Genomic DNA, 15,877 nt, shown 5'->3' on the forward strand with positions numbered 1-15,877 from the left:
CAAAGCTTTAAATCTTTCATCATAGTTAACGTGAATATTTTTCCAGTTTATTGTCTTTTAGTTTGAGTGTGGTTTCATCTATTTAATTTCCGGAAGTTGTGCATTTAACGAAATTGAAGCTATCATTCTTTTTCCTTTGTATCTTGTCATTTGTGCTGATGAACATTTGTTAAATATTTACTGCTTGCCAGACTTTGGGCGCTGCACTGCCCAAATGTGAGGAAGTATAACCTGGTGCTTGTTCTTAAAAAGATAACCTCTGCATTTTCCCCCCATAAATACAATTTTCTACTTTCTGAATCTGATTCTAATTTGGCTTTATTTCATACCCAGTGCCAGCCACTTAAGGAGTAGTCAAGATACTTTTATTGAAGGAAGAAAGGATGTTATTGATAGTCGTGTACTTCACGCTTCAGAAGCTACGTTTATAAGCCAGTGACAGGAGAGGTGGGGAGGAATAGAAGTCATACATATGAAAGCAATTAAGTGTGGTTCTCATTTTGGGGGATGGATGTTGAGAATGAAAATGATCCACTCATTTATCTTTAAAGTAATATAAACACTGTGAGACAGCATGAAACACATTCTTTAGTTTCTCTATCATATGGGAATAGGCAATTGGAGGACTGTGTTTTATTTGTCTTCACAGTTCTGTTGCTTAGCATAGAGTCTGGCTAAATGCGCAAGTTCAATAAATGTTTGTTGACTAAATCTCCAACACAAATGATTACATTTGGTAGAGTCTTACCTGGACTTTTTACCATATAAAATACGCTTTTCGCTACTTGTAATCTCAGTCATCATACTTTTAAAATACTAATCATTTTAATTAAAACCTTCCTATTACATTATATAATGGTCTTACCATGTTTACATATAATGGGATAACCATAGACCAATCAGTGTAACAAATTCTTTAGATTGCAATTTAACTAAATGAACAATTCCTTTTAAACAAAAGGTGTACCTTAAATGTATATTTGTTTTGATAAAGCTATAACTTACAGATTGAAAATGCTTTTATAACATAGTCTTTTAACATGAATTTCCCAACTCCCATCCATAAAGGAATTTCCTCACTGGCTTTTGAAAAATGCAGTTCATTTGTCACTTTGCAGTAACAGAGTTGCTTTGTAAGAGTAAAATAATATTGTTCTGGGAAACAGTCTTTGGGATGGAGGCCTTTTTCTGACAGCTTTCTACAAAGCTCAAGGGGAGAATCAGACAGATAATAACACATGGGGATGAAGACATGTGAAAGCTACTTAACCAGTGATGAAACACAAATATCAATATTCATTTTCAGCAATATATTTTGTTCTTACTTCTAAAGTTTGGAGAATTGTTTCCTTATAAAGCTTAACAATGTTTTCAACATTTTCCAAATAATCTTCAGGCCTCTGAACTAGATGATGAAGAATTTCAGCCACCATCTGCATTTCGGCAATAAATGCCTAAATGGAAAAGAAGAGATTTCAAATATCTTTAGGTCAATGACTATTCAATTTACAAGCCATATTCCCCACTCCTTACACCTAGATATCATTTTGGGGTGAGAAGCAGGGGGAGGGGACGATTAAAGATTAAGGATTTTTATTTAAGAGAATGGAAGACTCCTAACGGGTCTTCATCAGATGGAATAAAGCTTTAAATTGACCTGGATATTTACTCATTTCTGTTTGTTCCCCAATAAGTAGGGACGAGTAGGGGAAGAACATCAGATTTTCAGAGACAAAATAGAGAAATTAGATTTCCTGTGAACACCTGAGCTTGTAGTTCATTCATTCAAGTATTTATTGAGTGCCTTCTATGCATCAGGCACTGTTCTAAGGATTTGGAATAGAACAGTGAACAAAACCAACTAACACCCTGGGCTCATAGCACTCACACACATTGCAGTTGAGGAAGGCAGCATAAACAAGTACACAAATAAATATATAATATATTAGGTGGTGGTAAGTACTAGGAAGAAAAATAAAGCAGGGTAGCATGGATGAAGAGTGGTAGGAGAAGAAGCTGTTTACATCAAGTGGTCATGAAAGGGTTATCTAGAGAAATGGAATTTGAGTTGAAATCTGAAGGAAATGAGGGAGAGAGAACTGCCACACAAGTTTCTTTCTTTTTTTTTTTTAATTATACTTTAAGTTCTAGGGTATGTGTGCACAACATGCAGGTTTGTTACATATGTATACACGTGCCATGTTGGTGTGCTTCACCCATTAACTCGTCATTTACATTAGGTATATCTCCTAATGCTATCCCTCCTGCCTCCCCCTACCCCCTGACAGGCTCTGGTGTGTGATGTTCCCCTTCCTGTGTCCAAGTGTTCTCATTATTCAATTCCCACCTATGAGTGAGAACATGTGCCACACAAGTTTCTAGAGAAAGAACATTTTAAGGTAGAGGGAACAGCGTGTGTAAAAGTTCTCATCCCAGGGCCTGGCACAGGATAAGTGTTCCATATCATATTTATGATGCTAATTATTAATTCTTTCCCATTTTTATCAATGTACACACATACATATTTGACTTGAGCCATATTCTCTATATAAGCCATTTTATAACCTGTTTTAAGTATTATTTTAATAGTCAAATAATATATTAATTTCCTTGAATGTACAATTATTTAATTACTCTATAGTTGGACAACAATGTTTCAGGCTTTTCACAATTACAAATAATGTTGCAATAAGTAGCTTCATAGATAAATCTTTATATGGCTAATATTTTCCCTTAGAATAGTTCCTACAAGTAGAATTACTGGACCAAAGGTTATACATTTCAAAGTGGCTCAATACACGTCTTTTCCAAAAGAAGCTACCATTCTTCTCTCCCTAGTAGAGGGCTTTGCTAGCACACTGGCGTTCATTCATTCAGCCATTACACATCTTCATATTAAGTACCCACTATCAGGCACTGGAGACAGTCCCTGCTGCATAGAGTTTTCATTCAGTGGGGCAGACAGATAATAAGCAAGTAACAAAAGTAACATAATTTCAGAAAGTGATTAAGTGCTATAAGGAAAATAAAACAGAGCAAAGGGTTAGACTTAGGCTATCCAGCACGGAAGTTATTAGCCACATCTCCCCATTGCGCACTTGAAATGTGGCAAGTGCAACTGGAACGTGCTGTAAATGTAAAATACATACCAGATTTCAAAAACTTAGATGAAAATAGAACATGTCATTCTCAGAATGTTTATGTTGATTGTAAGTTGAAATAAAATTTTTTGATATATTTAATTAAATATATTATTCAAATGACTTTCACTTGTTTATGTTGATTATAAGTTGAAATAAAATTTTTGGATATATTCAATTAAATAAAATACATTATTCAAATGACTTTCACTTGCTTCTTTTTGCTTTTAAAAAGCATGAAGCTTAAATTAAAAAAAAAAAGTCATTCTTTATAAATTACCCAGTTTCAGGTATTCTGCTGTAGGTAACAGAAAATAGACTAAGAAATGCTCTAACTTCTTATTCTACCTTGCCTAGTGCTTGACACACAGTAGGTGACCAATAACTCCATAGTTATGAAATGAAGCACACTAGGTGTCAGAACATCAGAAATGTAGAGACACGTCTATGCTGACAGGAAGGCTAAACTTGACCTCAAGATTATGATCTCATAATCCTTGAAAACATGAAAGATTTTTGCTTATTTCCTCCAAACTCAATAAAGATGTAAAGAAAATGTATAGCATCTACTATTTCCTATTACCTATACCATCATTTACCTTAATTATAGCAATTTTAAAAAGTGTAGTGTATGGTAGTTACCTATTGAGATATTACCTCTTCTTCTTCTTGCTCTTCTTCCTCTTCTTCCTCTTCTCCTTTTCCGTCCTTTTGGGCTTCTTTCTTCTTTTTCCTATGATTCTCAATGACTTCAGGATCCCACTGGTCTCTACTGTATATGTATCCCGTATTATTGTGCTGTCTTTGCCCAGAAATTCTCTGGCACAAATCATAGTCAGGACACTAAGAAACAACATTATTAAATCACTTAAAACATTTTGAATATGCTTTTAATTCCCTGTGTATTTATTGAATATATTGTACAGTACATAAACCAAAAAATTCCTTTAAAACCTGAGCAAATGCAATATTGTGACTGGCATTTTGCATCAGGTTTCATTACATGCCAAGAGAGGCTCAGACACTAATTTTATGCTATATGTTTTTATTTGTCCAAAATTAATATAGGTGAAAAAGTATTACAAGTCTTAAGATGAGAAAAGAGGATTGGAAAAGTAGAAACAGTAGAGAAATGGAATAGAAAATCAGTTAACTCTGCAAAGGTACACAGAATTCTATGATTAGCTTGAAAAGTTTACGAATGGAGCAAAATGGGGGGAATAGCCACATATTTCCAATAAAATATATTGTTTATTTGTAATATTTACTATCACTTACAGCTTTATGGGTGAGGTGTTTTATACAATGCCAGTCATAAATGGGACCTGAAAGATCATCTATTCTAGTATAACATTTATATTTTGTAAATGAGAAAACTGAATCCAGGTAGTAAAAAAGCCAAAACCAAAGTCTACAAGTAAGTTTCTTGTTCCAAAGTGCTTTCACTCGTGCGATTTTACTGAATTCTCAACTAACCCTGTAAGATAAGCAATCCAAATTACAATTAAAACCATCCTTCAGGTCAGAGAAGTACAGCTATGGCAGACTAAGAAACCAATCTCAGGTCACAATGTCACATGGAGGAACTGCAACTTGGAACCAAGCCTTCTGATTGTAGTCCATGGTCTATGATGCATTATTAATGATGATGGTTTGAGGTTGTAAATTGTGCTCTGAATGTTTTTCAGGATAAAAAAAAATCTGGATGGTTTTCTGAGGCAGTGATTCTGACATATGAGCATGTAACTCTATCTGAGGAGCTTGTTAAATCAATTGCAGCTCCTCTTGTCATTTATTAAGTTTGGAGTGAGGCTTAGATTCTTCAACAAGCATCCTCAGTGATTCTGATGCTGGCAGTTCATGTACCACACATTGAGAAACAAAGGAAGCCAGGAATGTTGGAACCTTCATTGCTCATTTTCTGATTTCTTCATGCCATCTCTAGATGGAGATGGGATGGGTAATTATTGAGGTAAGACTTTTGTTAGGCTTCCTAATTTTTCACAAAAAGAATTTCAACCTACACAGGTAATTTTTTAAAACATCTGTTTTACAACCCAGGATACCCACCTTCTAGGACCTTGACAAGGACTATCTCCTTCAGCTGTCTCCCGTTCTCATTTGCAGGAAATGACTAATGAAAGTGTGAGTCTGAAGGATATAACTCAGAGCAGAAGTGCTCAGTGTCACCTGGAGGGCTTTGCAACACTAATAGCTGGGCTCCACCTGACAGATTCTGGTTCTTAGTTCTGGGGTAGGGCCTGAGAATTTGCATTTCTACTAAGCTTCTGGGTGCTGTTGGAACTGGGACCACTCTCTGATAACTACTGCTCTAGTAGATTGCTAGCCTTTAACCAGGTTTTTGGTAGCACAGAATCCTTTAGAACATGATGAAAGCCATAGATTTTTGCATCAGAAAAATTCACATATACATAAAGTTTTATGTATAATTTCAAGAGGTTCATGAATGCTTAGGGATTTATGGATCTTGGGCTAAGAGCTTCTGCTCTAGAAATTCCAGGCTTATTCCCCAATAAGGACAAACTATCCAAAAAATGTGTGTTGCACTGAATTCTGTCTCACATTAAGCCCTCTGATGATACTCTGGTTACCCTGTAGAAACTGCCATAGGATACTTCATGATCACACTTATAACATGAATGGGGTTAAGGACTTTATTCACTACATTAAGCAGTCTCTTATATTAAGACCCATCTAAGGTATTTCTCTCATTCTCAATGGCAGTCTTGTTTTGCCTGAGGAATGGCTTGTCTTCTCATGGACAATGTGAATTTTATAACTGGTCACATTTCCCCTTTTACTTTAGTTCACCAAACCTAGAACCAAATTTATGATCCAAACTTAGTAAGCATTTGGGGTCTTCTGGCCTGCACAACTGTGTGCTCTCTCTCAATTAGATCTTAATTTTCTATTGAATCTGTCTTTTCCTAGGCTTAGTTTTTGTATGTGGTTTCAGTTGAATGAGATATCTCTGTTATGTCCACATTCACATGTGTGACATTCTCAAGTTCACTCACAATTGTGATTGACCCCTGGCCATGAGTGGTGGCTGGGGCTGCAGATTACACCACATTCAGCACTGCAAGGCCACCTCTCTCTCACAGCTGACCCTGACACTCCACTGGGTCCCAGCATCTGAGCTGAAAACCATCTAGTTTATTTGAGCTGTCATAAACCCTGGCCGAGTATGGATACAAAAGCTTATCATTCATTTTGACATAAACAAGAAGACACCACCTTGCTAAATTCTTATCACAACCCCATGAGGCAGCTATTGTCATTTTTGTAAAAAGGAAATCAAGACTTCTAGATGTGATTTACCAAATTCTAATAATAAAAGAGAGAATTAGGAACAAGACCCAACCTTAACTCGTAATTAATGTAGTAGTGTTCTTTAACATTCATACATTCATGTCATGTGTCTATTCTTTCATTTTATTAGTAAACTTACTAGGTGCCACTATGTACCACGTAATATACTGGTTGATGTTTATATGAGCAAGACATGGTTCCTACCTTCAAGTAAGACAGAGTCTAGGAGGAAAATGGATAATTATAATATAGTAAGGTGAGTAACATGACAGGGAGCGGAGAGCACCACGAATGGTCATCAGAGAAGGATTTAACTCTCTTATGATAAGTAAGGTGTGGAAGGGAGTGACAGAAAGAGAGGTGGTGGAGCGGGGTAGTTGTCAGGGAAAGTTCTAAAGAGATGATGTATTAACTGACTTTCAAAGGATGGCTATGAGGAAGCCTGGTGAAGAGGCAAGAAGGTATCTCATGTGGATGGAGCTTTAGGAGCAAGAGCACAGAACTATGAGAAGTATGACTCAGTTCCTGTGATTGATGCATAAGTTATTATCTCCATAACTATTTAAAAATGTTTAAAGCATTCCTTGAATTTAACTACTATCAAAAAGAATGGTTTACTCTACTAGCAAAACAATTAATATCCTTACCTTTATATTGATTATAACATCAGGTTTCAGGTTTAAGTTTTTAATTAATTCTATTTGCTGTAAGGTAGTCATGGCATCCTGTGAAAGTGATGGTATTTCAGTGATAATATAACCTGTAAAGTAAAATATAATTTTAAAACTTTTATAAAATTATCAACATATGAGGGCATGGATTTATTATATTATATATATATTTACTATATTATTACTTTATACTCATCTATCATAAAGTCATCTCTCAAAAATTTTAAATTAACACTTAAAGTTATTGCCACATGAAGTGTAACTATGAATAATGTTTTTCTGATGATAAAGAAATCACTGGACTAGAAGAAGACATTTTTGAAAACTCCAAGTCAATTTATTTTAGACAGATGAGGTGCCTAGGGAAGGAAATTTCATGCTAGTAATTATTTTAACTCATGTTAGGAAAGTTTACTCATATGAATGGTAAAGGTATATTATAGGGGTTGCATGCCATATTTATTTTTTTCTCATATTAATATTTCATAATATAGTAGAACATGTGTGTATAATGTTTTTATAAGTTATGAGAGTAATAAAACACCCATGGACACACTATAATTTTCTGTTTTTTAAACAGCCAATATGATTTTGGTTTAGTGCAGTTATTGGCTTGTATCCCCACCCAGAAATCTCAATCTTCTCACTGAAATTCACCGTTTACCATCATCATATTAATTTCCTTAATATATTTCTTCAATTATGTTACTGTCTTGCTCAAGAAGCTTTTCTCTTATTAATAAAGTCTCAATTCCTTCAGTGGGAATTAAAAGCTTTCAGCTTACTTCTGTACATCTTTTCTTGGAAGAACAACAGACAAACTATGTTTATTCAGCCCTGGGTATTTGGCAGAAATCTTATGAAAAGTGAATGGAATGACCCTGTCACTGCAAGGACAAAAACTGATAGCATTTGTTGCCAGTTATAATATTCAAGTGAAAATCTGAATTTTGAAAAACTTACATCCATTATTAAGAAAAGCTTAATAATGGGCTTTTCTTGATGAGAGTGGTGGTGACATTAACAAATGTGATTTCTTGATACTGTATAGTAAAGTGTGTCAACATTTGGAAGATCTGTATAACTCAGTGAACCAACATTTTCCAAATGACCAATGCATGGTGCCACAAAAATTAGGCATGGGTTACAGGCTTATTCCAAGTGCAAGACAGACCAATGGATTTTAATGTAACCAAGTTTTGAAAAGTTCACTGATACAGTTTCAGATTCCACAATGCAACCAACCTTCAGGAAACTTCCACCTGTTGGGTTTTGATGTAGAATCAAGAATATCCACAATTATTCCAAAGGCTATTAAAATACTCCTCCCTTTCCAAGAATATATCTATGTGAAACTACATTTTCTTCATGTATTTCAGCGAAAGCAATATATTGCAACAGATTGAGCAGAAGCAGGTGTGAGAATCCAGCTTTCTCTTAAGTTGGACATTGAAGAGATTGTGAAAATGTAAAGCAATGCCACTTTTCTAATTTTTTGTTTTGAAAAATTATCTTTCATAAAATATGCAATTTATGTTAACAAGTCATGGTTTTATGATTTCTAAACAGATATTTTTTAAAGTCTCTGTTTTAATTTCTAATATGGTAAATATAAATACATATAGCCCATGTAAGCATAACTACTTATGGAGCCTCAACAATTCTTATTAGTGTAAGAGAGTCTTGTGCCCCAAAAGTTTGAGAACCACTATCTTAATGCAATGCCTAGAATAGCATAATAAAAAAAGTTACCAAGCACCTGTTGATAGACGAGTGAATGAATGTGTGTAAAACAAACTTAAAATTCCTCACCTCAGAACATGCTCATCACAATCTTTTATTTTTATTTTTATTTATTTATTTATTTTGAGACAGAATCTTGTTCTGTCACCCAGGCTGGAGGGCAGTGGTGTGGTCTCGGCTCACTGCAACCTCCGCCTCCGGGGTTCAAGTGATTCTCCTGCCTCAGCCTCCTGAGTAGCTGGGACTACAGGCGCATGCTACCACGCCCGGCTAATTTTTGTATTTTCAGTAGAGACAGGGTTTCACCATGTTGGCCAGGATGGTCTCGATCTCCCGATCTCGTGATCCGCCTGCCTCGGCCTCTCAAAGTGCTGGTATTACAGGCATGAGCCACCACGTCAGGCCACAATCTTTTATTTTTAAAAAAGAAGATCAGGCCAGGTGCGGTGGGTCATGCCTGTAATCCCAGCACTTTCGGAGGCCGAGGAGGGTGGATCACAAGGTCAGGCGTTCAAGACCAGCCTGGCCAACATGATGAAACCCCATCTCTACTAAAAAAAAAAAATACAAAAATTAGCCAAGCATAGTGGCGGGTGCCTGTAATCCCAGCTACTCGGGAGGCTGAGGCAGGAGAATCGCTTGAACCCTGGAGGCAGAGGTTGCAGTTAGCCGAGATCGCACCACTGCACTCCAGCCTGGGCAACAGAGCGAGACTCCGTCTCAAAAAAAATAAAGAAGAAGAAGACCAAGAACCATCATGCTAATTCAAAACCTAATTAAATGCTTAGGCATACACAATGTCTCCTAAGCTTTTTTGATCACTTTACTTTCTGCTAACAGTGTGTTGGGCTCTATCCAGAGAAGCAATCCTACCTAATTTAACTTAAAAAGGCAGAAAGGATGACCTTGTCATCTTGGTTTTAGATATATGAACTGTAGGTATGATTCCCTCTTGTCTTGCTATGATCCTTAGTGTCCAACTTGACTTACTTACATGCTCCTGCTATTGTCTTAAACATAGCGTGGTATCCCCAAGGCATCTATCCTATTGGAGGTTCATTAAATTAGCTCAGTACATCCCTAAAAAAATGTAGACACTGCCTGCACTGTCTCAAGAAATGGGCCAGACCTTTCTCTACCTGCCTCTTCTTGTTGTTCTCTTTCTGCTTTTCTGGCTCCACACCACCCTCATTTGGTTTGGCATCTTTGCTCTTGTGAGTCTAGCTTCCACTTGATTAACAACATGTTTGAACTGGTTTTTAAGACTTTGACCAGTATCTCCTCTGGGACACGATGGCTGGCATTAACTCCTGGTCTGACACATTGTGATGGTAGGTACTACACTGAACGGGACTGCATGCCTAGCTCTGGATGGAACTCAGACCTTGGCAAGCTAACTCCTCCAAGTTAGACAGTTCCAGAGACCATCTATCTCCAGAGTCCTTGCCCTTGCCTTGTAAGCAAAAGCAACAGTATCTCCCTGCCATTCCCTATGCTGGTAATACTTCCCAACATCTGTGTATCGTAAGTGGATCACAGAAAGATGCTTGGCACTGTTTGCTGTGCTTGCCAAAACCTTCCTGTTCCTACAGCCACTGCCACTGCCACTGCCTGGAGAGCTTGTCAGGCATTCCACGTGCAACTGTTTGCAGGAATGCTGAACTTCTGGTGTACATGTATATTGGAATGATGTTCATACTTGGTCTCTTTACTGATGGAAATGGCAGAAGAATAAGTAATTTCCATGGATCTAGCTCTCTCTTGAAAGGCCATTGTTTGGGCTGCCTGAATGTTCTGAGCTATGAATTGTGGGGCTCTACCCTCTGAGAGATGTCTAGTATTATCATTCCAGAGCCTAGGGGTGTATCTATGGGAGGAGGTGTGGGATAGACAATTATGTCATCTAAGTTTGTCTCACCATTGCAGATGTAAAGTGGAATAGATTAGTCCTCTAGTCCCAATTCTGGAAGATCCCAGGGACACACTGCTTGTTAAACAGACCAGAACTACTGAGCCCAGTGTCAACCTTTCCAATTCCAGAGACATGTGAGGATGAAAGCACAGATGAGGAACTCCTCGCTCCCACCCCACATGTCCTTGAGACCATTACCAAGCCCTTGCCCTTCCATGCTAACGATGGAGGAGTGGCGCACCCCAAGCCAGTCCTTGCTGGGAGACTTTGCATGTTCTATCATAGGCAGACTAGGTGCTTTGTAGGCCATTGCCCAGTTCTCATTAGCTCAACCAATGAGAAACTGTAAGACTGTCCAGACCACTGCCCAGAGGAAACTGACTTGTCTCAGGCCCATACCATCACTTTGCCACCATTTCTTGGCACAGTGGGAAGAAGGCATTTTCTATTTCCATACAAATGAAGATGGCAGACTACTGCTTTCAGATTGAAGTGATGACAGATTCAGAGATATCAGGTAGCTTTGTGTTCAGCCATCCCTGCTACCCATCTGACCTCTGGCCAGGCTGATGTAGCCTTGTGTCCAGCCATCTCTTCTACCCATCTGACCTCAGACCAGGCTGATATGAGTGGACACATTGGTGACCAATGACTTGCAAGACTATTCATAAAGATATACTCGGGGCAGGGAATGCCCAGACTGGGGCTATTCATTCACTGGGGAAAACGAGATTTTCCAGAATCTAGAAGCAGGGAGCAGTGAGGAGCTTTTAGGATGCCACATATTGACTCTATCTGTTTCTCTTGGGTAAGGATATAGCTCCGAGAAGCTGATTTTGGCTAAGGGCCAAAACAACACAATAGATTGTGAATGAAAAGATAATTATAGATCGTGTAGGCCCTTTTAAAATAGTGATGGAAACACCAATTATTAAAAGGGCTCTAGTATAAAACAAAATTAAGATGAATTTGGCAATACTCTGCCGTGTGATGTCCCTGGAAGTGCACATATCTCTTCAGGGATTTTGGAGTCATCAATTATCCATCCTCACCCAGCCCCCCACTCAAGTTGTTTTTTTTTTTAATTCTCTTTGTTATTTTATTCCATTAATCTCATTTTGAAGTTACTATTTTAGTTGTCATTTGCTTAATTATTTTTTCTTTTGTTTTATTTTATTTATTTTTAATCATACTTTAAGTTCTAGGGTACATGTGCACAATGTGCAGGTTTGTTACGTATGTATATGTGTGCCATGTTGGTGTGCTGCACCCATTAACTCGTCATTTACATTAGCTATATCTCCTAATCCTTTCCCTCCCCTCTCCCCCCATCCCACAACAGGCTCCAGTGTGTGATGTTCCCCTTCCTGTGTCCAAGTGTTCTCATTGTTCAATTCCCACCTATGAGTGAGAACATGCGGTGTTTGGTTTTTTGTCCTTGCGATAGTTTGCTGAGAATGATGGTTTCCAGCTTCATCCATGTACCTACAAAGGACATGAACTCATCATTTTTTATGGCTGCATAGTATTGCATGATGTATATGTGCCACATTTTCTTAATCCAGTCTATCATCGTTGGACATCTGGGTTGGTTCCAAGTCTTTGCTATTGTGAGTAGTGCCACAATAAGCATATGTGTGCATGTGTCCTTATAACAGCATGATTTATATTCCTTTGGCTATATACCCAGTAATGGGATGGCTGGGTCAAATGATATTTCTAGTTCTAGATCCCTGAGGAATCGCCACAGTCTTCCACAATGGTTGAACTAGTTTACAGTCCCACCAACAATGTAAAAGTGTTCCTATTTCGCCACATCCTCTCCAGCACCTGTTGTTTCCTGACTTTTTAATGATTGCCATTCTAACTGGTGTGAGATGATATCTCATTGTGGTTTTGATTTGCATTTCTTGGACGGCCAGTGATGATGAGCATTTTTTCATGTGTCTGTTGGCTGCAGAAATGTCTTCTTTTGAGAAGTGTCTGTTCATATCCTTTGCCCACTTTTTGATGGGGTTTTTTTTTTCTTGTAAATTTGTTTGAGTTCTTTGTAGATTCTGGATATTGGCCCATTGTCAGATGAGTAGGTTGCAAAAATTTTCTCCCATTCTGTAGGTTGCCTGTTCACTCTGATGGTAGTTTCTTTTGCTGGGCAAAAGCTCTTTAGTTTAATTAGATTTCATTTGTCAATTTTGACTTTTGTTGCCATTGCTTTTGGTATTTTAGACATGAAGTCCTTGCCCATGCCTCTGTCCTGAATGGTATTGCCTAGGTTTTCTTCTAGGGTTTTTATGGTTGTAGGTCTAACATTTAAGTCTTTAATCCATCTTGAATTAATTTTTGTATGAGGTGTAAGGAAGGGATCCAGTTTCAGCTTTCTACATATGGCTAGCCAGTTTTCCCAGCACCATTTATTAAATAGGGAATCCTTTCCCCATTGCTTGTTTTTGTCAGATTTGTCAAAGATCAGATAGTTGTAGATCTGCGGCATTATTTCTGAGGCCTCTGTTCTGTTCCATTGGTCTATATCTCTGTTTTGGTACCAGTACCACACTGTTTTGGTTACTGTAGCCTTGTAGTATAGTTTGAAGTCAGGTAGCGTGACGCCTCCAGCTTTGTTCTTTTGGCTTAGGATTGCCTTGGCGATGCCAGCTCTTTTTTGGTTCCATATGAACTTTAAAGTAGTTTTTTCCAATTCTGTGAAAAGTCATTGGTAGCTTGATGGGGATGGCATTGAATCTATAAATTACCTTGGGCAGTATGGCCATTTTCACGACATTGATTCTTCCTATCCATGAGCATGGAATGTTCTTCCATTTGTTTGTGTCCTCTTTTATTTCATTGAGCAGTGGTTTGTAGTTCTCCTTGAAGAGGTCCTTCACATCCCTTGTAAGTTGGATTCCTAGGTATTTTATTCTCTTCGAAGCAATTGTGAATGGGAGTTCACTCATGATTTGGCTGTTTGTTATTGGTGTATAAGAATGCTTGTGATTTTTGCACATTGATTTTGTATCCTGAGACTTTGCTGAAGTTGCTTATCAGCTTGAGGAGATTTTGGGCTGAGACGATGGGGTTTTCTAGGTATACAATCATGTCATCTGCAAACAGGGACAATTTGACTTCCTCTTTTCCGAATTGAATACCCTTTATTTCTTTCTCCTGCCTGACTGCCCTGGCCAGAACTTCCAACACTATGTTGAATAGGAGTGGTGAGAGAGGGCATCCCTGTCTTGTGCCAGTTTTCAAAAGGAATGCTTCCAGTTTTTGCCCATTCAGTATGATATTGGCTGTGGGTTTGTCATAAATAGCTTAATTATGATTAGATACATCCCATCTATACCTAATTTATTGAGAGTTTTTAGCATGAAGGGCTGTTGAATTTTGTCAAAGGCCTTTTCTGCATCTATTGACCTAATCAAGTTTATATCCCTGTTTTGAAAACCCTTCACTTCCAATTTTGCTTCTACCTTCTACCAGGCTACGGGTTGAGAGCAAACATCAGGATGAGACGCCTTGCTGGGAATTTGGGCAAAGATTTTCAAACTGTATTTAGCCGAGTGCTAGGTTCTAAAACAATTCCTGTGGGATGCTACAGGATGGGTTAAGGGGTGGCTGGGCAGAAGGCGCTTTAGGTTCCATCTCCACTGCAACCTTTAAATGAGCTCGTTTGTGCATGCCTAGAACGTGGCCTTGTAACCAAATGGTGAGGGTGTGGCCCCCAGACTCAGGAAACCATTTATATCACTTTTCCTCTGCCAGCTCCTAGGACAAGTATCGGCATACAGGAAGTACTGGGGTCTGAGGAATGCAATCAGCCAAATCCAGAATGTGGGAAACTCTACAAGACAAATGACCTGTTTTCTTCATCAGAGAAGAAACAATAAGATAGAAAGAAGTAGGGGAAACTTATATATAAAGAGACTTGAGACATACTAATCACTTGTACTATGTGAAACCTGGTTAGATCCTGCTTCAAAAAAAATCAACTAAAAAATATCTATGAGGTAATTAATGAAATCTAGTAGATGATATCAAGGAATAACAATTAATTTTTTAGGTGTGATAATGGTAATGTGTAATAGGTTTAAGTGTCCTTTTCTTTTAGAGATATAAATGGAACATTATACAGATGAACTGATATGATATGGATTAGCTTCAAAATAACATAGGTTGAGAGAAGGGAGTAAGTAGAAGTGTAGATGAAACGAGATTAGACTAGAGTTGGTTTTGGACATATGCTGAACCTGAGTGGTAATGTGGAAGCATCTTTATACTAATCTCCCTACTTTTGTTTGAACTATTTCCTAATAACAACTGTAAAACATTATGAACACCATGAGAGGCACAACTGAGTTTCTTCGTGTTGTTTTTTTTTCTTTCTCCTTTTGCCAATACTTATAATTTATGTCATCTTTTTTGTAGCCATGTAAACCAATTTAAGTTTTTCAAGAGGTAAGTGAGGTTAACAAATAGGTATTTACTTACCTACCTATATACATATCTGTTTCAAATACTATGTTTTCTGAGGTCATTTATTGACGTAATTTGGAATTCTGTGATTCCTGTTTGCCTTTTTACTTATCCAGCCTTCCATATTCTGGATATTTTGCCGTTCAGTCTCTTTATCACTGCTGAACAAATAGGTAATAAGTGGATAGATAGGTAGATAGTTTACAGAGAAACCTTATCTACTTATAATGTATTTATAATCCATATATATTAATCTCTATATATGTATTATATATAAAAACCCATATATCCATATAGAGACCTGTCTACATATGTGGATATGGGACATTCTATGTATCATCTCTCTATACACATGAGCTATATGAAAAGGAATCTTTTTGTCTATAGATAGAAACCAGTAAATACAGTTTGACAAGGCTGCGTTTGCTGCTTCCATCATTGATTTGCTTTGGCAGTTATGGTTTTTACTTTCCTGTATTTTTATTCCTGCATTAATAGTTACAATGTCTTCTTCTAACTTACTAAGAATATAAAACAACTTTCTTAATTTTTCTTTTTTCATTCAGTAAATCCATTTCAGGTGGATGATTTTATCCCAAACTTGTCAT

General features: G+C 37.5%; 1 protein-coding gene across 22 annotated transcripts in view; it reads right to left on the reverse strand.

Moving 5' to 3' along the window:
- AK9 (adenylate kinase 9) overlaps window positions 1-15,877 on the reverse strand; it is a 198,348-nt gene that overhangs the window by 162,576 nt on the left and 19,895 nt on the right. For 20 of the 22 annotated variants that reach the window (XR_942337.3, XM_047418304.1, NM_001145128.3 and 17 more), the window contains 3 exons: window positions 7,121-7,233; window positions 3,798-3,983; window positions 1,326-1,454 (listed from right to left, as the gene is read on the reverse strand). Coding sequence is in view for 20 of the 22 variants with exons in the window: in XM_047418304.1 (XP_047274260.1) it covers window positions 1,326-1,454; window positions 3,798-3,983; window positions 7,121-7,233 (428 nt within the window). In the remaining 2 variants the exon portion in view is untranslated. Of the gene's footprint in view, window positions 1-1,325; window positions 1,455-3,782; window positions 3,984-7,120; window positions 7,234-15,877 lie in introns of those variants that run through there. The other 2 variants (NR_138057.2, XM_017010385.3) reach the window with 2 other exon arrangements.

This window comes from Homo sapiens, chromosome 6 (assembly GCF_000001405.40).
Source record: "Homo sapiens chromosome 6, GRCh38.p14 Primary Assembly".
Classification (NCBI taxonomy): domain Eukaryota; kingdom Metazoa; phylum Chordata; class Mammalia; order Primates; family Hominidae; genus Homo; species Homo sapiens.